Raw genomic sequence first — 25,519 nt, 5'->3', positions numbered from 1 at the left:
CGTGTTTAGTCCAACCCTTGTATTTACAAAGGAGGAGACTGAGACCAGAGGTGAACTGACTAGCTCGAGCACCCAGCTCATGAATGGCCAAATCAAGACGAACATCCAGATCCCCACCTTAGTGTTCCCTGCACCCACCTGGTTTCTTCCAGAGGCCTTCCCAGGAAGACAGGAGTTGGCTGAAGGGAGTTCCTGCCACAAAATCAGTATCACTTATCAACCTACCGACCTCAGCAGAAGATCCAGAGAAAAGGACAGCTGCTGCCTGCAGACCAAGTTCACCTGGGCGCTTAAAGATGCCCCCCCCCCCCCGCCCAAATGATTGCAGGTGGGTTTTCAAGCTTGAGAATGGTGAGCAATCCTAGGGTGGTGACGAAGATCCACCTGGAAGCCCTGAAGAAGGCAAATGACACTGACGATGAAAAACAAGAATCACCCTTTGTGATGGAGGGTCCCAGCCCGTTACCCAGACTACAGTCCTGCAAGCAAGTCAGGGACCCCGCACCAGGTTGAATACTCTGCTGTTACCGTGTGAAATTCTCAAAAACTTAACAAGGGGCCTGGCATCTTCATTTTGCACTGGGCCCCTCAATCACGTGGCCAGGGCCGCTGCCACCCTGGAAGCCATAGACGGGTGGCCCCGTCTACACGTCTTCGTCCCCCAACCCCTGCAGCCCTAGACTAAGGAGACCTAACGGAAGCCCTGGCATTTGCACCCCCTAGGCCTGTCCTCGGGAGGGGAAGAAGGCTGCGGGAAGGGGCAGGGGAGCGGGTAGAGGTCCACACCCTCGGGCAAAGGGCCCGCTAACCAGCGGCCCGTCCTCCTTGCTCCGGAGGCGAAGCCTTCCACGCCGCCGCAAGCGGCGACGTCCTGACTTCCGACCGGCAAGTGGGCCGGGTGGCCGAGGCTCAGTTTGCCGGTTGGGAAAATGGGAAGGCGCGGGGCCCTCGCGGGCGGAGGAAGCTGCCGGGGGCGCAAAGCCCGAGCAGGGTGCACTTCCGGCCGCCGGGCCGCCCCGCCGGCGCCTCGATTGAGGGAAAGTTTGGGGACAGATGATAGCAGGGAGGTGCTCTCGGCCGGGGTTCCGGCCTCGCCCTGGTCCCAGGGGCCGCGACTGTGGCGGGCAGGGAAGACAAGCCGCCCAAACGCCGGAGCCCGAGACTCGAAGCCGCCGCAAACTCCTCGCCTCGGGGGCGGGGTCACGGTGGAGAGGCGGGGCTCCGGCGGAGGGACCGGAACTGCTGTGAGTCTATGAATAAAGTCCCAACAATATTCTTCCTCGTAGAGGTTCCATAGTGTAGTGGTTATCACGTCTGCTTTACACGCAGAAGGTCCTGGGTTCGAGCCCCAGTGGAACCATAGCCGTAAGGCGGCTGTTTTTGCTTTTATAGGGTTTCGTTGTTTGGGTTAAAAAAAAAAAAGGGTTTGGGTTAAACAAACAAAAAAAACCAAAAAGCGACAACGAAGTGTTTTTCTTTGTCCTTTTTTTCTTTTTAATTTTTTGGCATGTTTTTCTCGCAGAAGTGAAATGACAGATACCCTCTCCTATCCCACAAGGTCACTGCCGCCATAGTCCGACATGAGAAGTAGTGGAGGGCAGGGGCCGGGCGAAGTCCTAGACCCGATCCGGCGCCCCCGATCCGGCCGGGCCCTACCCCACCTCTCCTCCCAGTACGCCTCGGAAAATCGGGCGCTCGGGGAATGCACCTGGCTGCCCTTTGCCTGCAAGCCAGCAAGGGCCGGCCACCCAACCTCCAACTAAAATGTGGCAGGCAATACAGCAGCGCTTTGACTGCAGGTGAATTATTAAAGGTCGGTCATGATTATGACTCTGATTAAAAGTTCTATTTTTCATTAAACTCTGATGTGCAGAGCACGAAAAAAAAAAAACCCCACAGTCCCTTTTAATGCAGCAGTAGAATTTGTGGAATAGAGTTCATACACAGTATAAAATAAATGTCAGGCTTGTAGACATTCAATAAATACTGGTTGAATGAGCAAACGTTTCTCTAGTTTCTTTCTGTTCCTCTTTACTATTTCATTACAGTTTCCTTTGGGGAGTTTATTATTTGTTTAAATATTGGCTTTTTTATCTTTGACAAGAGGAATGAGGGTGTGGGCCATGGTGAGATGGTGGTAGCAAAAAATATAAAATGGGAAGGGGCACTCAGTATTTTTCTCTGCATTTTCAACCTAGTTATGCATCCTTAACAGTGTAGAAATTTGCGTCTTTTTCTAACTTGAGTGTAACTCTTTCCCTGTTATTACAATCACTTCATCAACTTTATTCTTTTTTTTTTTTTTGGAGGCGGAGTCTCACTCTGTCGCCCAGGCTGGAGTGCAGTGTCGTGATCTCAGCTCACTGCAACCTCTGCCTCCCGGGTTCACACCATTCTCCTGCCTCAGCCTCCCGAGTAGCTGGGACTACAGGCGCCTGCCACCTCGCCCGGCTAATTTTTTGTATTTTTAGTTGAGACGGGGTTTCACCGTGTTAGCCAGGATGGTCTCGATCTCCTGACCTCGTGATCCGCCCGCCTCGGCCTCCCAAAGTGCTAGGATTACAGGCTTGAGCCACCGTGCCCGGCCTTTTTTAAAACCACCTTAACCATTTTTTTTTTTTTTTGAGACAGAGTCTGGCTCTGTCACCCAGGCTGGAGTGCAGTGGTACAATCTCGGCTCACTGAAACCTCGGCCTCCTGGGTTCAAGCGATTCTCCTGCCTCAGCCTCCCGAGTAGCTGAGATTATAGGTGCACGCCACCACGCCCGACTAATTTTTGTATTTTTGGTAGAGACGAGGTTTCGCCATGTTGCCCAGGCTGGTCTCGAACTCCTGACCTCAAGTGATCTGCCTGCCTTGGCCTCCCAAAGTGCTGGGATTACAGGTGTGAGCCACCACCTCCAGCCCACCATAATCATTTTTAAGTGTACAGTTCAGTAGTGTTAAGTATATTCACATTGTTGTGAAACAGATCTCGGGAACTTTTTCATCTTGCAAAACTCAACTCTATACCTATTAAACAACTCCCCTTTTCCTCCCATCAACTTTATTCTGAATGGTGATGTAAAAATAATAGCTAATTATGTCTAGCACTGTGCTAAGTATTTTATACATATGATCTCTTGTAAGCCTCAAAATAACTCTCGAAAGTAGGCATTATTATCATCATCTTACAGATGAGAAAGTTTAGGCGCAGAGATATTAATAACTTGCCCTGAGGTCACAATGTAACAAGTGCTAGTGCTGCGATTTGGCACCCAGTCTGGGTTGGCAGTCTGTGCTCTTAAACCTACCAGGCTGCACTCATCTCTTGATTTACTTAACCAGCCCCCTAACCTTGGCCATTTAGATTGTTTCCAATTTGTTGTTGTTAAAAGTAACACAGCAATGCACAGCTTTGTGTTAACTGTCCTCCCACCACCACCAAATTTAGCATTTTCCTGAGTGAATAGGTGTGCACATGATGCCTAGTTGCTTTCAAAGAGGGGAATCCATGACATTTTCATACAATTCGAGAATGTTAGTGCTTATGTGGCAGGAAATTGTTCAAGGTCACCCCCTAAAAAATGATGGCGAAGAAAGGACGAAAACCTGAGACTTCTGGTTGTAGTTCTCTCCCTCCATTGCTTCCCTTACATTAAGATAGAATGAACAGTATGGGCCGGGCGCAGTGGCTGACGCCTGTAATCCCAGCACTTTGGGAGGCCGAGGTGGGTGGATCACCTGAGGTCAGGAGTCCGAGACCAGCCTGACTGACATGACGAAACCCCATCTCTACTAAAAATACAAAAATTAGCTGGGCGTGGTGGCGTGAGCCTATAATCCCAGCTACTCGGAAGGCTGAGGCAGGAGACTAGATTGAACCCGGGAGGCAGAGGTTGCAGTGAGCCGAGATGGCGCCATTGCACTCCAGCCTGGGTGACAAGAGCGAAACTCCATCTCAAAAAAAAAAAAAAAAAAAAAAAAAAGAACGAAAAGTATCTTCCTCGCGAACTGAATCTCAGTTGATGCTAGTATCTTCCATGAGACTTCCTTGTTGAGGCAGGTAACTCTGTGGGTTAACTTGATGGGGCTCAGCCAAAGACCTAAGAACTAAATGGATTAAGATGCTTAATGAGGCCAGGGCTCAACTTAATCCCCTGCTCCTGGGCCAGCTCTCCAGTTCAGTAAGGTAGAGCTTTGGCCGAGGACGAGGGGAAGATGTCACGCAAGATAGAAGGCTTTTTGTTATTACTTCTCTTTGGCTATGAAGGTATGTGCTATTCAACCATTGACATTCATTGCATACTTAATACATAATTTAATTAATATCGTTGATAAATAGGAATATAGCCTGAATAATATAAATATTATTAATTAGCAACACGTTAATTAACTAACATGTGTTATTAATGAACAACAGTTGTCTTTGTGTGGATGGCTTTCCAGTTCTGTGAGGAGCCTTCTAAAGTTCAAAGGATGCTTAAAATCCAACAGAAAACAGGATGGGTCTCAGAAATCTATAAAATAGCCATAAGTTGCAACAATTAATGAGAAAGTATGGCATATTCTGGAAAACTTTTAGGAGTCAAAGTGGGAGTGATTGTAGAATTTAATATTCCAAACCGGAATGCTATTGACGGTGGAGGACGATGCTATTAATAATTCTGTTGGGACGACAGGTGTAACCCAGGACCATCCAGGGCAAATTGGGGTGTAAGGTCAACCTAGTTTAAATATGGATTAACGTAACATACCCAGTACCACTGGAATCTAATAAAAAACATAATCCAACTGAGAGTCAGGAAACCTCGGAGACTCAGTACACTCACTCATTTTAAAATTTCTAAATATGACCCTAGCAGAAGTGATATGCTTCAATTAGGAAAAAATAAGGGCAAATCTGTAAAATGTCATCCAGTTCCAATTCCCTCTCAATCTTTGAAATAATATTCTTTCATGCCTCTCTCAATTCTCAAGTACCCATCTGCTCAGAATTTCTCCTCAGGTTCATCCAGATGTTAGAAATTGGTTGCCTGTCTTCTTTGTGGACATCGTGTATTTGTGTGTTATAGAAAATAAATTAAAAAGCAGGGAGAAGGAGGTCTCTGTGCTCTGCAAATGACCTGGTAGACAGACACAGCGAAACTCACACAAGTAGAATCAGAATTCTTGGTTTCACGGCTCACTGTAGCCTCAACCTCCCAGGCTCAAGCCATCCTCCTGCCTCAGCCTCCCTAGTAGCTGGGACTACAGGCACGCACCACCACATCCGGCTAATTTATTGTATTTCTTGTAGAGAGGGGTTTTCACCATGTTTCCCAGGCTGATGACTTTTGTTACTTAGTCACATTTCTCAGTATTTGGAAAGACTGGTGACAATATAATTCCAAGGTCATTCTGCAAACCCCAAGGTATATTTCTAAGTAGGGATCATGTAAACCAGTTGTCTGTTAGGATTTTTTCCCCTTGCAATTAATAGTCTGCAACTTGTCCCAGTAACTCTGACTACTTTAAGATGCTTTGGGGTTTTGTTGTTTTTCCTTTTACTCCTTGCCCCCTCCTCTTTCCTCAGCAAGAAAATCTAAGCAGACTCTTTCAAGGCTTAGATCTAAATACTCCTGGTTGTCAGACACTCCCAGGGCTCACTCTCGGATTTCTCTTCTTTGTGATTGGCATGGAGATTCATTCATTCATTCCTTGGTCCCTTCTTTTAAGAGCTCATCCCTGACTATCTGCTAGGGGGCAAACATTGTGTATGACGGCGGGGCGCGGTGGCTCATGACTGTAATCCCAGCACTTTGGGAGGCTGAGGCGGGTCTATCACCTGAGGTCAGGAGTTTGAGACCAGCCTGCCCAACCTGGTGAAACCCCGTCTCTACAAAAATACAAAAAGTATCTGGGCATGATGGCAGGTGCCTCTAATCCCAGCTACTCGGGGGAGGCTGAAGCGGGAGAATCGTCTGATTGCTGGAGAGGGAGGTTGCAGTGAGCTGAGATCATGCCATTGCACTCCAGCCTGGGTGACTGAGCGAGACTCAGTCTCAAAAAAAAAAAAAAAAAAAAGGACTTGACATGCAGGGCATCCTTGTTTCTTCCACAGTGCTGAGTCTAACAACCCTGTTCTGTGACCTCCCCACCCCCGCGATGCGAAGAAGTCCTAGAAATGTTTACCAAAGCATTTTAAAATTAGACCTGCCCAGTTAGTGGATATCAGCAATAAAAGACAGGCTGTCAGGAGGCATGAAGGATAGCACTCTTTCGTGTTCTAAAGTTTACCAATCTTTGTGCATGGCTGGGGAGCTCCAGAAATGTCCACGAAGAGCAGAGAACATCGTCTCTCCAGGTGCCCTGCAACGTGGGCCAGTGGGAAGGTTTGGGGAGCTTAAATTATCTTACTTGCTTAACGCAGGCCTTTAACAGCACTTGAAAGGAAAGCAGCCAGCCAAAAATAGCCAGTGTGGCTTGGCAACCTACTGTGTGCCCTACCCTGGGCCAGAGGGATGCTCCAGGGGACAGAGGACACAATCACTGAACTTAATCAGCATATTATCCAGATGGAGATGCATAAGGCCCATAGACATGGGAAAGATGCATCCCATTGTACAGCTGGGAACCTGAAGACAAAGGCTGTTTGTCCAATTTACCCTCCACTGCTTCTGTCCTTCAGTGGCAGTGTCTCCTCATTACAGTGAAATAAGGTAAAGAAATTGCCTTCACTTAGGCGTTGGATGAAGGTTCATTTCGGAGAGCACACAGCCTCACAGTAAGGCATTTCCTATGTCTTTTTTTTTTTTTTTTTGAGAATTTCACTCTTGTTGCCCAGGCTGGAGTGCAGTGGCGTGATCTCGGCTCACCACAACCTCCATCTCCCGGGTTCAAGCGATTCTCCTGCCTCAGGCTCCCGAGTGGCTGGGATTACAGACGTGTGCCACCACGCCCGGATCATTTTTGTAATTTTAGTAGAGACGGGGTTTCTCCATGTTGGCCAGGCTGGTCTCGAACTCCCGACCTCAGGTGATCTGCCTGCCTCGGCCTCCCAAAGTGCTGGGATTACAGGCATGAGCCACCGCACCTGGCTTCCTATGTCTTATAATTGAGTCAGGCTTCTATTTCTCTTACACCGCACATATTGGATTCAATGCCAATAAGGATTTTTAGAACATCCATCGTATTAAAATATCTTACTTCATTACTTGGTCATGTTTATTATATAAAAACAAAAAAAGTCCTTCAGCCTCAACTTATAGGTGACTGTGTTACCATCAGAGATTGCAGGGGTTTTTTTAAAGCAGTTTTATTGAGATGTAATTTATATACTCTTAAATTCACCCATTGAAAGTCTATTGTTCGATCGTTTTAAGTATATTTACAGATTTGTGGAGCACATAATCTAATTTTAGAACATTTTCATCACCCAAACATTAAGCCCTCGCTCCCCATTCTCCCTGTCTCCCCCCTCCCCCAGCCCCTGGGCAACCACGGATCGACTTTCTGTCTCTAAAGATTTGCCAGTTCTGGACAGTTCATTTCAATGGAGTCACACAGCATGTGGTCTTTTGTCTTTCGCTTAGCATATGTGGTTGAGGTTCATCTGTGTTTGAAGCATGTGCAGATAACAGATTTACCCATGAATATGCCTGTCGCCTAAAATAGTAACACTTTCACACCAGAAGCAATTTCCTTCTTTCTCTTTCACGAGAGGGACATTATTGCAGCCTGCTGCGTGCGTTCCTCCTGTTTCTCAAGCAGATTGGAAGCTGGTTACAGACCATTTTTAATCATTCATAATTTTATGCTTTTCTTCTCGGCTTCATCTGTTTCCATGGGAAGGAACGCTCTATGGTTGGTGATACCCAATCCAAGAGACTAAACTAGGTTTTCCTGTGTGTATCTAAAGCGCGCCTTTCCTCATGGGTTGCAAGGTACATTTCAAGAAATAGACACGCCTTGAAATTTCCTGCTGTGACAACAAGGGTTTCCTCACAGCAGAGTGGCCCTTTTGGACCAAGGGGCAGAATGAGCCCATATTGCATAAATCTAAGCCCACATTGCATAAATCTAAGATTGGTGACTGGCGGATGTCTCATGTAACATGTGGCGGAATCACAGAAGCCATCTAAACAGGGAGAAAAATATGCAACCACATAATCGAAATATTTCACTATTTTTCCTTTAGAGGCTGAGATATTTCTCTTGTTCCCCTTCCAACAATGCTATTTTCTGGTATGATACTATTAGGTTGGTGCAAGAGTAACTGCGGTTTTTGCCATTACAATATGTTGTCGCCAAAAATGCTTTTGTTCTCCAGTTTGTTGGTGATTAAATCATTGTGTGGGACTGCAGCAGCCATGTTGCTTCTCCTTTGGTGACAGCTTTTTCTGTAAAACGCCTGTCGTTCCTTCTCTCTCTGCTCACTTCCATAAGGATATGGTACCTCAGAACCCCAGGCTGTCTACAGACAAATGCTTTCTGCGGGAGGGGAGTCTGGGAAGAAAAGAAATGCAAGAAATGGGTCCAAAATTGGATTGCACCCAGGAATTGGCTCTGAAAGCAGGCCTCTCTTCCTTGGACTCTAGGTTTGCTCAGTGACAGCTCAACAGACCAGACTCTCTTCAGTGACATACATGGCCTTTGAGCCAAGTGGATTTGGTTATGAAAGCCACACTGTCAGTGACCACCAACACCCCTTGCCTTTGGTCTCCCAAAAAGAGGATCTGGCACTGTTTTTTTTTTTTTTTTTGAGACAGAGTCTCGCTGTGTTGCTCAGGGTGGAGTGCAGTGGCGTGATCTTGGCTCACTGCAACCTTCCGCCCGCCTGGGTTCAATCGATTCTCCTCCCTCAGCCTCCCTAGTAGCTGGGATGACAGGCACGCACCACCATGCCCAGCTAATTTTTGTGTTTTTTGTAGAGACAGGGTTTCACCACCTTGGCCAGGCTGGTCTGGAACTCCTGACCTCAAGTGGTTTGCCCGCCTCGGTCTCCCAAAGTGCTGGGATTACAGGCGTGAGCCACGGGCCTGGCACAATTGATGTTGACCTAACTGACAGGGCCCTTCAGAAACTGCCTCACAGCCAGTCCCAGCTTCTCTTGAGGGTGGGGATGGGACAGAGCATCTCCTGGACTAGCAGCCCCCAGCCAACTAGACCCTAATTGCTGATTTCCTTTGCATCTCTTGATGAACAGCTACAGGCCTGAGGTTAGGAGTTCATGTAGTCGTTAACTCCGCAGAGCACAGGGCACCATCCAGCCTGTCTGGGCTCCCCCTTGAGTTCCAGAAGCATCTGTCTGGCTGCCAGCTCGATTTCAACACTGGGGTGTCCCCTAGGCGTCTCAAATTCATTATGTCCCAAACAGATCATCCTCCTCCCCATCCTCCCCAAATCCCTTGTCTTCGCTGAAACCTTCTTCCCCTTCCGCCCGCCCCGCAAATGGCAGCTCTATCCTCCCAGTTGCCCCAGCCTCAGACTTCCGTTTCTTTCACACCCCCACCCCTGCCACGCGTAATCTGCCCGCAGATCCTGTGGGCACTACTTCCCCAGTGTAGTCAGAATCCAGCCACTTAACACTTCCACTGCCACCACCCTGGGCCAAGCCAGCATCTTCTCTCCCTCGGATGACTGCACTCACCTCGGAACCGGACCCTGTTGCCACACTTGCCGTGGCCAGCCCGGTCCACAACATTGTACCAGAGGGAGCCTTTGAAACTGTGGTCAGTAATGTCCTCGTCTATCCTCAAGTTCCACAAAGCCTCACATGGCCCACGAGGCCCTGCAGGAACTGGCTCCCGGACACCCCCAACCTCGTCATCTCCTAAGACTCTCTCTCCTCTAGCTCCAGCCTCAGGAGCTCCTTGCTCTTCCTGGAACACGCCAAGCACACGCTCACCTCGAGGGCTTGGCACATGCTGTTCCCTCTGCCCAGAATGCTTTGCCCACAGGTGTCTCGCCTCCTTCGAATCTTTGCTCCAACATCACCTTCTCAGTGAGGGCTTCCCTAAGCCCAAAAGGACCAGTCCCTGTTCCCTACTTCCTTGTGTTTTCTCCACAGCAGTCACCGTAATTTTCCATACTATCTATTCTCTTTCTTCATTAGTTCATTAATGTATTCTCCCCACCCACTCCCACCCAACACACACACTAGCCTATGAGCTTTATGATGGCAAGTGCTTTTCCTGTTTTGTTTGCTACTCTATCCCCAGCACCTAAAGCTGGGACTGGAATGTAGTAGATGCTCAATGAATATTAGTTGAATGAATGAATGCTTTGAGGTGAGTCATTATCAGTCATTTTTTGTATGGGTTTCTATAATCTGTGGGCAAGAAAAAGGTGGACTGAAAAGGCCAGAGCAAATGGTGAGCTGAGGGACAGGAAAAACCCTCTTTTTTTTTTTTTTTTTTTTTTTTGAGACAGGGTCTCACTCTGTCACCCAGACTGAGGTGCAGTGATGCAATCATACCTCACTGCAGCCTCCAACTCTCATGATCCTCCCACCTCAGTCTTCCAAGTAGCTCGGATCACAGGTGTGTGCCACCACACCTGGCTAATTTTTATTTATTTATTTGTTTGTTTATTTATTTTTAGCAGAGACAGGGTCTCGCCATGCTGCCCAGGCTGGTCTCAAACTTCTGAGCTCAAGGGGTCCTCCCACCTCAGCCTCCCAAAGTGTTAGAATTACAGCCATGAGCCACTGCGTCCGGCCAGGAAACGTCCTCTTTATAGGGAATGGGCTGAGCAGGCGGAGAAGTAGGGGTGGGGGGACGCATTTGAGGCAAAGAAATTCTATGGACGGAGGCAAGAGACAGTCTGGCACATTTGTGGCTTGGCGAGCAGTACAGAGTGAGAAACATAAATCCCGAGAGGTGGGCAGGAGGTAGATCTATCTCCATGACCCCTTGAAGGACACTTTATTATTATATGCATCATAGGGGTGTGGAAATGGAGAGATCATAATACATCTCAGAGGTGGGACTCAGCCCCTGGCAACAGGGACCCGCCAAAGCGTTTTGCGCAGGAGAGTGGCGGCATCAGGTTTGCACCTCACTGCCTCAGCAGCGTGGAGGATGAAAGAGACAAGTCTCTCTTTAGCAGGTAGAGTACCTGGGAGAGAGGGTGGGGCCTCAAAGCAGGCAGTGGGATGGAGAGGAGAGAAAGCCCCTGGTGGCCATAGGATGGTAGGGATTTAGGAAAAAGAGGAGGCTTGGAGGAGCCTTCTGGATGGGGTGGTAGATGGATGGCGAAGCCACTCAGGAGATAAGAAATAGAGAAAAGAGGCCAGGTGCAGGGGCTCACGCCTGTAATCTCAGCACTTTGGGAGGGCGAGGTGGGAGGATCCCTTGAGCCCAGGAATTTGAGACCAGCCTGGGTAACATAGCATAGACCCCGTCTCTACAAAAAAATTAACACAATTAGCTGAGCGTGGCAGCGCAGGCCTGTAGTCCCAGCTACTCAGGAGGCTGAGGTGGGAAGACTGCTTGAGCCCAGGAGGTCGAGGCTGCAGTGAGGTGAGATAGCACCACTGCACTCCAGTGTGGGTGACAGAGCAAGAACCTGTCTCAAAATAATAATAATAATACTACTAATAATAACAACAATAATAATAAAGAACTAGAGAAAGGAGAACAGTCTGAGGAAGCAGATGAGTTTGTTGTTGTTGTTTTTGAGATGGAGTCTTACTCTGTTGCCCAGGCTGGGAGTACAGTGGCGTGATCTTGACTCACTGCAACCTCCGCCTCCCCAGCTCAAGTGATTATCCCGCCTCAGCCTCCTGAGTAGCTGGGACTACAGGTGTGCACCACCATGGCCGGCTAATTTTTGTATCTTTAGTAGAGCCAGGGTTTCACCATGTTGGCCAGGCTGGTCTTGAACTCCTGACCTCAGGTGATCTGCCTGCCTCGGCCTCCCAAAGTGCTGGGATTACAGGCGTGAGCCACCGCGCCCGGCCCCTTTTGTACGTTTTTTAATGGATCCATGTGGTGTATCTGCTTCAGCATTGGACTTCTCACTCAGCATCATGAGATGCATCCACCCTGTGGCATGTAGTTCTAGACTATCTATTTGCATTGCAGTATAGTGTTCCATTGTGTAAACATACCCCGATGTAGATGCTCTGCTTTTGATGGACATATGAGCATTTCCAGTTTGGGGGTATTACAAATACTGCCGCTATGGATCATCTAGCACATGTTTTTGGTTTTGGAGTATATATGTATGCATATCTGGTGGGTAGCTACTTAGGAGTGGAATTGCTGGGTCATAGGGCGCATATATGTTCAGCCTTTGTATAAATTGCCAAATAGTTTTCCAAAGAGGTTAGACCACCTTGCACCCCCACCAGCAACATATGACACAGTTCAGGTTTCTCCACAGCCTTGTCAACACTAGGTTGGTCCACTTTGAGCTAGCAAGAGACATCTACGGGAAGATATCCTGTAGGCCATTCAGTGCTTACTGGATATCTGAACCTTGGATTTAGCAATGTTTACTGGGTGGGTGGAGGAAGCAGAGCTCTCAAAGGAGACTGAGAAGGTGTACCTAGAGTGGTGGAAGCTAAAGGAAGATGGGACTGACAGCACCCAACATTGCGGTGTGAAGATGGAAGGTCAGTGTTGGGAAGAGTCCATTGGATTTGAAAATAAGAAGTTGGCTGGGTGCAGTGGCTCACGACTGTAATCCCAGCACTTCAGGAGGCCAAGGCCAGAGGATTGCTTGAGCCCAGGAGCTCAAGACCAGCCTGGGCAACATAGTGAGACCTCCATCTCTATAAAAATAGGTTTAAAAATATTGGGTGTGGTGGCACGGGCTTGTAGTCCCAGCTACCATGGGAGGCTGAGGTGAGAGGATGGCTTGAGCCCTGGAGTTCAAGGCTGCAGTGAGCTATGACTGCCACTGTACTCCAGCCTGGGCGACAAGAGTAAGACCCTGTCTCAAAAAAAAAAAAAAAAAAAAAAAAAGCCAGGCACAGTGGCTCACGCCTGTAATCCCAGCACTTTGGGAGGCCAAGGCAGGTGGATCACCTGAGGTCGAGAGTTCCAGACCAGCCTGACCAACATGGTGAAACCCCATCTCTACTAAAAATACAAAATTAGCCAGGCATGGTGGCGCATGCCGGTAATCCCAGTTACTCAGGAAGCTGAGGCAGGAGAATCGCTTGAACCCAGGAGGCCGAAGTTGTTGTGAGCCGAGATTGCGCCATTGCACTCCAGCCTGGGCAACGAGTGAAACTCCGTCTCAAAAAAAAAAAAAAAAAAAAAAAAAGTCATTGTTCTTGGAACCAACCCAAACGTCCATCAGTGATAGACTGGATTAAGAAAATGTGGCACATATACACCATGGAATACTATGCAGCTATTAAAAAGGATGAGGTCGGGTGCAGTGGCTCACGCCTGTAATCCTAGCACTTTGGGAGGCCGAGGTGGGCGGATCATGAGGTCAGGAGATCGAGACCATCCTGGCTAACACAGTGAAACCCCGTCTCTACTAAAAATACAAAAAATTAGCCGGGTGTGGTGGCGGGCGCCTGTAGTCCCAGCTACTTAAGAGGCTGAGGCAGGAGAATGGTGTGAACCCGGGAGGCGGAGCTTGCAGTGAGCCAAGATCGCGCCACTGCACTCCAGCCTGGGCGACAGAGCGAGACTCCATCTCAAAAAAAAAAAAAAAAGGATGAGTTCATGTAGGGACATGGATGAAGCTGGAAACCATCATTCTGAGCAAACTATCGCAAGGACAGAAAACCAAACACCGCATGTTCTCACTCATAGGTGGGAACTGAACAATGAAAACACTTGGAGACAGAGCGAGGAACATCACACACTGGGGCCTGTCGTGGGGTGGGGGAGCGGGGAGGGATAGCATTAGGAGATATACCTAATGTAAATGACGCGTTAACAGGTGCAGCACACCAACATGGCACATGTATACATATGCAACAAGCCTGCACGTTGTGCACATGTACCCTAGAACTTAAAGTATAATAATAATTTTTTTAAAAAGTCGTTGTTAACTTCCTCAGCCAGCACAGAGTCTGACATTGAGGGACTGTCTTTGTCTGTTTGAGAAGCTATAATAAAATACCATAAACTAGGTGGCTTATAAACCACAGAAATTTATTTCGTACAATACTGGAGGCTGGGAAGTCCACGATCAAGGTGCCAGCAGATTTGGGTCTGGTGAGAGCCTGCTTCCTGCTTCATCCCTGGCACCTTCTTGCTGTGCCCTCCCATGGCGGAAGGGGCAAGCTAGTGATACTGGAGGGGGGCAGCGCGTGGTCCCTGCCTCGGGCTCCACCCCCAGGCCTGTGCCCACGGACCTAGGTGAGGACAGGCACTCCTGCCTTCGTGCCCAAATGCTGCATTTCCCAAGACCACCCTGGCCCACCACGCCCCCATCCTGTGCCTATCAAAACTCCAAGACCCTAGCAGGCAGACACACAAGCGGCTAGATGTCGAGAGGAGCACATTGGCGGAAGAAGACACAAGTGGCTGGACGTGCAGAAGGCGTTGAGAGGAGTGCGCCGGCGGAAGAGCGCACGATAGACGCCGGCAGCCCCAGGCCATCAACCGGCGGAACGAGGTGGAGTTTGGCCAGGCTGTCGGAGAAGAGTGGGGCCACCTACCAAGCCCGACTCCAGGAGAAAAGCATCTCCCTTCTGGCTCCCCTATCTGCTGAGAGCTCCTTCCACTCAATAAAACCTTGCACTCATTCTGCAAGCCCACGTGTGATCTGATTCTTCCGATACCCCAAGGCAAGAACCCTGAGATACAGAAAGCTTTCTGTCCCTGTGAGAAGGCAGGGAGACGAGTCTAATGGGGCTGACTAACACAAGCCGCCTACAGACGGCAAACTAAAAGAGCACTCTGTAACACACGCCTGCTGGGGCCTCAGCTGTAAACATTCGCCCCTAGACACTGCCGTGGGTTTGGAGCCCCACAGCCTGCCCGTCTGTATGCTCCCCCAGAGGTTTGAGCAGCGGGGCACTGAAGAAGCGAACCACACCTCCCTTGCATGCCCTGAGATGGGGACAAGGGGACCTTTCCTGTTTCACTAGCTCCCTGGAGTCTCTTTTACACAGATACTAATCCCATGTATGAGGGCAAAGCCTAATCACCTCCCAAAGGCCCCACATCTTACTACTACCACATTGGTGACTGGGTTTCAACATATGAATTTTGGGGGGACACTAACATTCACATCATAGCAGGGACTCTGGTGGCCTGCTACAAAGATGGCGCTCCCTAACCTTCATTGCTACTTGAGAAGGTCAATTCTGCCCATAGCGGGTGAGTAACCAGTGGAACAAGGGCCCAGGAGAGACAGCAGTGTGGTGGCTGCAGGTGAGGGTGGCCCTGAATCTTCCTAGGCTAAGAGACATGTGCGCTTCACTCCCACTGCAGCCCCTGCATAGCCCATCGAAGTACTCACCATGGGCATGGTCCAGTGGCCTGTCTTCTCCTGGGTCCTCAAGCCCCTTGTGAGCAGAGAGTGAGGCTTCCATTTCAGAAGGCCCAGTCCTAGTATAGCGCCAAGCCTACAGTGGACACAAAAAAAGTGGTTGCAGAACAGGGAAATGTGTATTATTGAAATTCAAGCTTTTATAATTGTGATGATAAAGGCTTTGTGTGGTTTCTAAAAGCTTTTTGTGAGCATCAGATTCACTTTTTAAATAGCAAAGTGGTTAAAGGAGGGACTTTTATTTCCATTTTTTACACTCAGGTTTAGTCGGAAATTTTTTTATCATCAGAAAAGAAAGAAAGGTATTTGTTTTGTTCAAAATGTCTGGGAAGGCCGGGTGTGGTGGCTCACACCTGTAATCCCAGCACTTTGGGAGGACAAGGCAGGTGGATCACCTAAGGTCAGGAGTTCAAAACCAGCCTGAGCAATATGGCAAAACCCAGTCTCTACTAAAAATACAAACATTAGCCAGGCATGGTGGCTGTAATCCCAGCTACTCGGGAGGCTGAGGCAGGAGAATCGCTTGAACCCGGAAGGCAGAGGTTGCAGTGAGCCAGTCTCAAAAGAAAAAAAAAAAAACAAGTCTGGGAAATGGAGTTTTGGTGGTGTAGGGGAGAAAAAGTAAGCACTTTTCCTCACTTATCTCAAGGTTCATGGCTGAGATCCCTACGACAAAAGACAGATTAATGAGGGAAAACCATCCATACTTATTTAATAAGTTTTACATGGCACAGGAGCTTTCAGAGATGAAGACCCAACGAAACAGGAAGACCTGTGCATTTTTGTGGACAGTTGTGTGGAAATATGATTGGAGGATCAAAGGGTATGATCTAATGGTAATAAATGAGAAAAGCATAACAAGGCCTGTTTGTTCAGATTCGTGTTGGTGCCCCTGTGTGATATTCCTTCCCTCCGGGTATAGGGCAGGACACCTGTCACATGAGGGTCTTCAGGGGAGAAGATTAGACTGACCTTCCTAGGTTTGATGGCCTGCTTCAGGGAAGAAGAGGTGAAAGGAATTCGATGGCCCATTTCAGGAGAGAAAGGGTCAAGGGCTGTTTTTGTTTCTATGGCCAGCTTCAGGAGGGAGGGGGCAGGAGCAGGTCAGAGAGACCTTCCTGCTTCTGCAGTTTTCTCAGTTTCCTTGTGTGTCCAGGTGCCATATTTGATGGTAGCGTTTCCTGCACCCCATCAGTGCTTTAAACCAGCAGTGTCCAATGCAACCTTCTGCGATGATAGAAACGTTCTGTATCTTCTTAGCCAGTACGGTAGCCACTAGTTTCATGTGGCTCTGAAGCACTTGAAATGTGGCTGGCTTGACTGAAGAATTGAACTTTTTATTTTGATAATTTTAATTAATTTATTTTATTTTTTGAGACAGAGTCTCACTCTGTTGCCCAGACTGGAGTGCAGTGGTGCAATATCGGCTCACTGCAACCCGGGTTTCAAGTGATTCTCCTGCCTCAGCCTCCCAGGTGGCTGGGATTACAGGTGCCTGCCACAAAGCCCAGCTGATTTTTGTATTTTTAGTAGAGACAGGGTTTCAGCATGCTGGCCAGGCTGGTCTCGAACTCCTGACCTCAAGTGATCGGCCTGTCTCAGCTTCCCAAAGTGCTAGGATTACAGGCATGAGCTACCCCGCCCGGCCAATTTTAATTAATTTAAATTCCAATACCACATGGGACTAGTCATGACTACATTGGACTGTGAAGCTTTAAACCATCAGTTTCTGCTAATATATGCAAACTCTTTACCTGCTAAAGTGTGAATTCATTCTCTTTATTCATGCTTCTATAAAGAGAGCTTATATGTCAGTTTTATGTTAAATTTTGCACACTTTCAATTTTCCCACATTATGTATATGGTACTTATACTTTGATTGTGGTTTGATATTTCCTGTACATTATAGACAAACCTATAAAATAATTTCTAAACAATGTCTTAATCTTAAATCATCTAATTGTGGCACAGTGAGGGAACTGGGAATCAACTCCTGAATAGCACATTGGGCAGACACAAGGGATGATGATGATGATGATGATGATGATGATGATGATGAAGATTTAATAAAAGAGAAACCTTGGGCCGGGCATGGTGGCTCATGCCTGTAACCCCAGCACTTTGGGAGGCCAAGGCAGGAGTATCACCTGAGGTCAGGAGTTCGAGACCAGCCTGGCCAACATAGCAAAACCCTGTCTCTACTAAAAATACAAAAAATTAGCCAGGTGTGGTGGTATGCACCTGTAATCCCAGCTACTTGGGAGGCTGAGGCAGGAGAACTGCTTGAACCCAGGAGGCGGAGGTTGCAGTGAGCCGAGATCGCGCCATTGTACTCCAGCCTGGGCAACAAGAGTGAAACTCCATCTCAAAAAAGAAAGAAAGAAAGAAAAAAAACACAGAAAAACTTCACACTGCTAGGGTTAAATGAAAGGGAAAGCAGGATACAACACTGTTTAGATAGCAAGTTCTCAAATATATTTAAAAATACACATAGAAAAATGACAGGAAATGACGGGAAATATTTATACTAAAATGTTAACAGTGTTGGCTTTGGTGGTAAAAAATACAGGTGTTTTCCTCTCCCTGCCCTGTCCACTTTGCTACATTAATGTAGTTTCCAAAATTCTATAACGAACAAAAATAATGATTATCTTTTTTTGGTTTGTTTTTGAGACAGAGTCTTACTCTGTCGCCCAGGCTGGAGTGCAGTGGAGCGATCTTGGCTCACTGCAACCTCCGCCTCCCAGGTTCAAACGATTCTCCTGCCTCAGCCTCCTGAGTAGCTGGGATTACAGGCGCGTGCCACCATGCCCAGCTAATTTTTGTATTTTTTGTAGAGGCGGGGTTTTGTCATAGTGCCCAGACTGGTCTCGAACTCCTGGCCTAAGTGTTAGGCCCGCCTCGGCCTCCCAAAGTGCTGGGATTACAGGTGTGAGCCGCTGCACCGGCCCTATAATGATGATCTTGTTCTTTCTGTTTAATTTTACTGTCCCTAGCTTCTTAGCATCTGCGGATGTTTTTCCTGGCAGATATTTACTCACCATGACTTCTTCCAGAAGGGGTGTTGGTAGCTTTCATGTGACTATTTCTATTTCACTTTTCCATGTAACGAGTGATGCTGTTGGATTTCTCTTTCATTAATTAGATTTTTTCTGTCTCATCCTTTTGCTTTAGCCACATTGGGATTATCGTCTACCGAGGTATGTAACAGTAAGAAGGCTGTAATGTACATGCATAGTACTTTTGAAAATTTTCCTAGCCAAAAATAACATAGAGGACTATCACTTTGTTTTTAAATGTATTTTGAAATATATTTTGGCTGGGCATGGTGGCTCATGCCTGTAATCCCAACACTTTGGGAGGCCGAGGCAAGCAGATCACTTGAGGTCAGGAGTTCGAGACCAGCCTCGCCAACATGGTGAAACCCTGTCTCCACTTTAAAAATACAAAAATTAGCCAGGTATAGTGGTGCATACCTGTAATCCTAGCTACTTGGGAGGCTGAGGCAAGAGAATCGCTTGAACCCAGGAGGCAGAGGCTGCAGTGAGCTGAGATCACACCACTGCACTCCAGCCTGGGTGACAAAGCGAGACTCTGTCTCAAAAAAAAAAAAAAAAAAAAAGTATTTTTTTTGGTGATGGTGACTGTAGCACATTTGACCTAGGCAAGCTCCACGATTGGTGTTTGAATGAGAGAATGCAAGTAAAACAGGTCTTCAATCAGATGGCACAATCTTGAATCTATCTCCCCATAGGAACTTCCAGGGGATGTGAAGAGTCTAAACTTGGATTGGGGCTCCCCACACTCCTGAAGATAACTATAATGGGGTGAACGGTGCCCTCTAGATGGGTGTATCTGTGAGATTATTAGTTGGTCGCCCAGGGTGGCAGACATTTTACTTATTTAGAATGGAAGATGAGTGGTAGCTGTGTGTATTGAGGCTGGATTAATAGCTCAATTTGGCCATTGTAGCAAAGCTGCTATAGACGATGCATAAGGACTGAGTGTGATCACTCCGTGGGGGCAACCACAGTTGCCTTTGACCGTGACTTTTCTGCCCTGCCTCTCTGGTTGGCTGCAGGATGAAGGCGAGGACCCCTGGTACCAAAAAGCATGCAAGTGCGATTGCCAAGGAGGACCCAATGCTCTGTGGTCTGCAGGTGCCACCTCCTTGGACTGTATACCAGGTGAGTATCCCCTGTCCTTGGGATGGAACAGTCATTGGGAACACCCCATTTCTCTTCCTTTTTCCCACTCAGCTGAATTAACCCCCTGAACGCTACCCCCATCTTTAGAATGAAAGATGAGTGGTAGCTGTGTGTATTTATTACTATTTATTACTATTAGTAAGCCTATGTTAATGCGGGTTTTCTCCAGTTGGCCTCTGAGCTTCGAATCTCACAATGGCCCCTGCTTCAACACATGGCGTGATGTCAGTGTTCAGAAACAGCTCCCTAGATCTCCATGTCTCCAGGCTGGGATAGTACGATGGGATCTAACTTTCAATGAAATCGATGAATGAGACTGATTGAAAATAAATTAATGGGAGGACGGGCACAGTGGCCCACGCCTGTAATCCCAGCACTTTGGGAGACTGAGGCGGGTGGACTGCTTGAGCTCAGGAGTTTGAGACTCTCCTGGGCAACATGGTGAAACCTTGTCTTTACTAAGAATACAAAAATTATCCGGGTGTGGTGGCTTGCACCTGTGGTCCCAGCTATTCAGGAGGCTGAGGTGGGAGGATTGCTTGAACCCGGGAGGCGGAGTTGCAGCAAGCAGTGATCGTACCACTGCACTCTGGCCTGGGTGACAGAGCGAGAGGCTGTCTCAAAAAAAAAAAAAAAAAAAAAAAAGGAAAAGAAAAGAAAAGAAAAGAAATTAATGCTAGGCAGCCTGGAATTTTGAAAAGAGCACAGGCTCTAGAGCCAGGAAGATGAGGGCTGGAATCCTGGCTGTGTCACATCTGAACTCTGGGACTGCCACTTTTTTCCTTGTCTGTCCAATGGAGGTGATGATAGCACCATGCCTGGATACTGCTTGCTCACCAAACAGCCATGTGCTTCCCTCCCATTGCCCAGCCCCCTTGTAATTAATCAGGTGGTGCCATCCAAACAGCTACAGCCAAGGTGAGCAGGCCACTTTGAAAATGGCACTGAAGGGCTGGCACTCAACTCTTCAGCTCTCCCTTTCCTGCTGTGAAGCCACCTGTTGAGATAGTGGCTTTTTCTGCAACCTGGTCTCAGGCTGATCACGTGGAGCAGAACTCCCTGCCTACCCACGGTAGACCAGTTGCCTGAGTGAAAAATAAACCTGTGTTTTGTGGAGCCTCTGAAATTTCCAGGCCAATTTGTTCTGCAGCTGATTTAGCCTGTGTCTAAGACAGGGGCCAGCAAACTTTGTAAAGGAGGAGAGAGGAAATATTTGTGGCTTTGTGGACCAAATAATCTGTCACAACTAGTCCATTCTGCTCTTGTCTTGGAAAGCAGCCATAAACAATATGTAAATGCTCAAGCATGGCTGGGTTCCAATAAAACTTTATTTACAAAACAAGCAGAGGGCCAGATGTGGCCCATGGGTCATAGTTTGTTGACCTCTGCTCTACGGGGTTGTCAACAAGGAATAAATAAGATGAGGCATTAAAGCAGCCTGTGGGGTACTAGCACACTGTTGAATAAAGGTTGGTTTCTTTCCTACCAGCCTCCTAAGAGCTCACACACTGAGGAGGGAGGGAGCAGATCCAATTTTCAGAGGCTTGGGCAGTCGCTGCAAATATTTGCAATGCTTAAATCCTTTCCATGCTCAGAGCTTGTTTTGCATGAAACCGGCCTTGCTGCCTCTCCAGGGTTATGATGGTATTGTGCCACTTCATTTACTTTACACAATTGCCTAATAATAGCTTCACAAGAGACAGGTTTGTGTGTCTGTGTGTGAGGCTCTTTTCATTATTTCATTAAATATGCATTAAAAAAGCAAATTGCAATGTGTGTGTGGGAGGGTAGGGTACAATGGTTTCTACTGCGTGATTTTCCTATTTTCTGAAGGGGAAGTCATTTCTGAACTAAGTTTGTTTTCCAAGGGAACTATGGGGTCCCAATCGTGAGGAAACCGGTGGGCTTTTCCTATCAGACATCCCCTCAGGCTCCATGGCATGAGCTCACGCAGCCATTAAATGTTGGTATGATTGGCTCAGTCAATACTGACGCACCCTCATTAATAATCCATTTATAACTCAATTCACCCATCTTTCAACATGTGCCTATGATGTGTCAGGCACTGACAAGGAGACAGAAATGAAGGCATTGTCTCCACCTTAGAGAAATTTACCATTCAGTGGTAACGAATGTTCTTTTCACTAGAGACATGAGACCTCCTGGAATTCCATTCCAAGTAAGTTCTGTCTAAGAAGAAATTGAAAAGACATTGTTTATGTGGATTGGCTTCATCGACCCAATCTAGTTTGATACTTCAAGAAAGGGCCATGTGCAGCCTGGGCAACATGACGAAACCCCATCTCTAGATGGGGGGGGCACGGTGGCATATGCCTGCAGTCCCAGCTACTCGGGAGGCCAAGGTGGGAAGATCGCTTGAGCCCTGGAGGTTGAGGCTGCAGTGAGCCATAGTCGTATCACTGCACTCCAGCCTGGGCAACAGCCAGAGACCCTGTCCCCCCCACCAAAAAAAAAAAAAAAAGAGAGAGAGAAGAGTCATGTGTTTGAGGGATGTGATATTGACCCTGGTCCCCAAAGCTGTCTCCCCTACACAGCTGTCATGAGCTTGAAGTTCTAAAATTAGAAATTCTTTTAGCTTAAGTGTTCTCCTCTCTCCACTATTTTTTGGGTTTTGTTCTTTTTTTATTTTTTTATTTTTTTTTTGAGACGGAATCTCACTCTGTCTCCCAGGCTGGAGTACAGTAGCGTGATCTCGGCTCACTGCAACCCCCACCTCCCAGGTTCAAACAATTCTCCTGCCTCAGCCTCCCGAGTAGCTGGGACTACAGGTGCACACCACCACGCCCAGCTAATTTTTTGTATTTTAGTAGAGACGGGGTTTCACCGTGTTGCCCAGGCTGGTCTCGAACTCCTGAGCTCAGGCAATGCACCTGCTCGGCCTCCCAAAGTGCTGGGATTACAGGCGTGAGCCACTGCACCTGGCCCTGGTTTTTGATCTTAACAACACAGATATTTTCAGAAAGGAAAACTCAACCTCAGCGTTAATGGTTGATTCATTGGTGTTAATTGGTTCTTCCATGAGAGAGGTGATTCAGGGCATTGGGACCAGCCGCAGGCTTGCAGAAGTCACTTGCCCGTCAGTGCCGCATTCTCATGGTATGTCAGGAGCGCAGCTTGGTTTACCTGGGCCCTGTGAATCAGGGCTTCCCTCATAACGTGTCTCACGAAGAAAGAGAACCCTGGAAAGCACAGAAGGACAGCGGGGTCACTCAGAGCTGCCAGGAGCGCTAGCAGGTGCACTCTGGCTAATGCCCGGGCCCCCCACGGAGCAGAAGGCCACATGCATTCTGGCCTCCTAATCTTCACTTTAATGCTATTAAAAATACTAAAAGCTCTGTCTCTTCCACCGTTGAGCCAAGATTACCCCGGCACTCTGAGAGCAAAAAATAGGGTAGGGAAATTATCAAAAGTATAAGAAATCTACTGGTTTGCTAATGGTTCCTTTTGATTCTAGATTTTCTATTCTATATGATGCTTGAGCTTATGATCCATTCTTCCAGAAATATTATTCTACATATTTTCTTCTGTACTCTACTATATTGTCACATATATTCAAGTCTAATATCTATGCATAACACTATTCACATCTGTCTGGAATCTTGTGTTAAGAAAGTCCCTGAATTCTGTGTTTCTTTAGATCTGCATTCTTTATAAGCCTGCCTACAAACTCAGAAAGTAGCCACTAAAGTAAAAAGGCTAGAATATGAAATATACACAGCCTTGGGCTGGTAACATATTGCAAATATGCCTTTATCTATCTCATGATCACATCATGGCTCAGAAGAGCCATTTGAGCCACAGAAGATGTAGGCTTTTCCCTAAGGGTGAAATGAGTATAGAAACAGGTCTAATAGCTGCAACAGCAAAGTGACACTGGGTGGAAAACTTGGGAAGGTCATATTCTGTGTGTGTCTGATAAGGATCCCCTTAGTTTTTTTTTTTGAAATGTAGTCTGGCTCTGTTGCCCAAGCTGGAGTGCAGTGGCACGATCTTGGCTCACTGCAAGCTCTGCCTCCTGGGTTCAAGCGATTCTCCTGTTTCAGCCTCCCAAGTAGCTGGGATTACAGGTGCCAACCACTGCGCTCGGCTAATTTTTGTATTTTTAGTAGAGATGGGGTTTCACCGTGTTGGCCAGGCTGGTCTCGAACTCCTGACCTCAAGTGATCCTCCCGCCTCGGCCTCCCAAAGTGCTGGGATTACAGGCGTGAGCCACTGCACCCAGCCTTGGATCCCCTTAATTCTTTCACAACACTATTTATGTTGCCTTCTAGCATCTACTCAATTTATGGTTTCTTTTGATTAGGCCAGAGGTCGCAGTCAGTGTCTACTTCTTCCCTGAGGCCTCTGCTGCCTGTTTCGAAATGCCATTTCCTATGCTTGTCCCCAGTGGCCACCCAAGATGGGGCGATGGTGTGTGTTCATTCATCTCTCCATCCATCTGTCCAGTCAATACCTAGAGAGTGCCCAGCACCTGTGGGCATTCTGCTCAGCTAGGGGGAGAATGGGGAGGGAGGCAGGCGAGGGGAGATGGCAGTGAAGTATGCCTGAGGAGGAGGGGTGCGTGACAGGTGTGAAGGGTGCTGGGGAGGTAGCACCTGGGGCCCCTCAGCCAGCTCAGGGCGGGCAGAGATCTGAAGGCTGAGGCATGGGGGGCCAGGCGGAGGGGTGTGGACGGGAGGGGATGGCCTCAGGGAAGGGCTGCAGGCCACATGTGGACCTGAAAAGAGCTCAACCAGGCCCACAGAAGGAAGAGGAAAGGGGAAGAAGAAGTCAGGAAAAATCACAATAAGAGAACTGGAGTGTGCTCTTCTTCAGGACACACACAGTGTGGGAAATGTCACATTTTCTATTTTTCCACGTTAGAAGAAATCCAGCCGGAGTGCCCCATTGTAATGGCCTGTGAGGAGTGTGCAGACAGGATTTTTGAAGGTCTTTTCTCCCTATTTAGACTACATGAACCCCCCACGAGCTTGCGAGGGCAGGCTGGCCACAGCCCCATTGGAAGGCAGACGTCTCATGGGTGGCTCCTCTCCCTCTGAGCCATACTCAGTCCGAGGGACCTTCCCAAGTTTTCTGAGCGTGCCCAGAGCTTAGGGCTCCCAAGCCCATCCCAGTCCAGCCCCTCAGGGGAATCAGGTCCCTCTCTGCTGCGCTCAGGCCCTCACCACATCCCTGCTACTTTAGCTGGGGCTGTGACCTCCTTCTCTTGGGCAATGCGCTAATTCCTGGTGAGGCCTAGATCTTCCAGGTCCATAAGCTTAAGGGATGCTGTCGACAAGTTTCTCTCTCACATCCCTCTCTGTCTCTCTCTGTGTCTCTCTGTCTCTCTCTCTCTCTCTCTCTCTCACACACACACACACACACACACACACACACACACACACACACACTTGCTCCTGCCTGGGGCAAGGACAGCCGAAACCATTCATTAGTCACATGAAGCTGGCCTCATTCTCTGGAGGGTGTGGCGGGGGGTGCGGTGGTGGGGGGACGGGGAGGGTAATGGGGACAGAACAGAGTAGGATAGAGGGGCAATGGATTTCCTCCCTATTGAGTCTTTGCCAGAAAAACATGCAAAATTCAAGAAGGTTATCAACGTAGTCTCACAAATTCACCTCCACCAATGTCATGCACCTGCTGCTTTTTGGCAAGACGCTGTGCTCTACGAACTCTACAATCTCCAAATAGTTTCACTCAATCTTACAGCAATTTTATGAAGACAGGTACTACATCATGCCCCCATTTCACAGATGAGGAGACTGAGACCCAGAGAGGTTAAGCAACTGGCCTGCGCACACGCTGAGAGGGTGGGCCCCTACCCCAGGTGTCATTGGCTGGACGCAGGCCTGCTTGACCTTGAC

The 25,519-nt window shown here is 48.0% G+C and overlaps 3 protein-coding genes and 1 non-coding gene across 11 annotated transcripts in view, besides 2 other annotated features; 2 read left to right on the top strand and 2 right to left on the bottom strand.

Annotated features, from left to right (window-relative positions):
• Positions 1-1,202, bottom strand: part of PPEF1 (protein phosphatase with EF-hand domain 1) — a 152,851-nt gene extending 151,649 nt beyond the window's left edge. For 3 of the 7 annotated variants that reach the window (XM_047442194.1, NM_001378382.1, NM_001377986.2), the window contains exon 1: positions 139-1,202. The gene's annotated coding sequence lies outside the window, so the exon portion shown is untranslated. The remainder of the gene's footprint in view (positions 1-138) is intronic. The other 4 variants (XM_047442195.1, XM_047442193.1, XM_017029612.2 and 1 more) reach the window with 4 other exon arrangements.
• Positions 1,177-1,363: a silencer, noted in NCBI's record as "fragment chrX:18693026-18693212 (GRCh37/hg19 assembly coordinates)". NCBI's record gives its function as "represses an EF-1alpha promoter that drives an FKBP-Casp9 reporter gene in an ReSE screen in HepG2 liver carcinoma cells {active_cell/tissue: HepG2}" and the evidence as "EXISTENCE:reporter gene assay evidence [ECO:0000049][PMID:32094911]".
• Positions 1,288-1,360, top strand: TRV-TAC1-2 (tRNA-Val (anticodon TAC) 1-2). Its single transcript has one exon. It is a non-coding gene; the product is annotated as a tRNA-Val (tRNA).
• The window catches only part of RS1 (retinoschisin 1), a 32,421-nt gene continuing 11,062 nt past the window's right edge, over positions 4,161-25,519 (top strand). The window contains exons 1-3 of the mRNA NM_000330.4: positions 4,161-4,252; positions 18,604-18,629; positions 19,511-19,616. Coding sequence (NP_000321.1) covers positions 4,201-4,252; positions 18,604-18,629; positions 19,511-19,616 — 184 coding nt within the window. The 5' untranslated portion in view covers positions 4,161-4,200. The remainder of the gene's footprint in view (positions 4,253-18,603; positions 18,630-19,510; positions 19,617-25,519) is intronic.
• Positions 14,381-14,932: an enhancer, noted in NCBI's record as "H3K4me1 hESC enhancer chrX:18679457-18680008 (GRCh37/hg19 assembly coordinates)". NCBI's record gives its function as "activates a minimal SCP1, AML or CMV promoter by ChIP-STARR-seq in naive H9 embryonic stem cells {active_cell/tissue: H9 hESC(naive)}" and the evidence as "EXISTENCE:reporter gene assay evidence [ECO:0000049][PMID:30033119]".
• CDKL5 (cyclin dependent kinase like 5) overlaps positions 22,640-25,519 on the bottom strand; it is a 228,022-nt gene continuing 225,142 nt past the window's right edge. For both annotated transcript variants that reach the window (NM_003159.3, NM_001037343.2), the window contains one exon: positions 22,640-22,837. In NM_003159.3, coding sequence (NP_003150.1) covers positions 22,725-22,837 — 113 coding nt within the window. In that variant the 3' untranslated portion in view covers positions 22,640-22,724. The remainder of the gene's footprint in view (positions 22,838-25,519) is intronic.

Source organism: Homo sapiens, chromosome X (assembly GCF_000001405.40).
Source record: "Homo sapiens chromosome X, GRCh38.p14 Primary Assembly".
In the NCBI taxonomy this organism is placed as follows: Eukaryota; Metazoa; Chordata; class Mammalia; order Primates; family Hominidae; genus Homo; species Homo sapiens.
The sequence above is the reverse complement of the archived record's forward strand: the minus strand, read 5'-3'. Positions and strand labels throughout refer to the sequence as shown.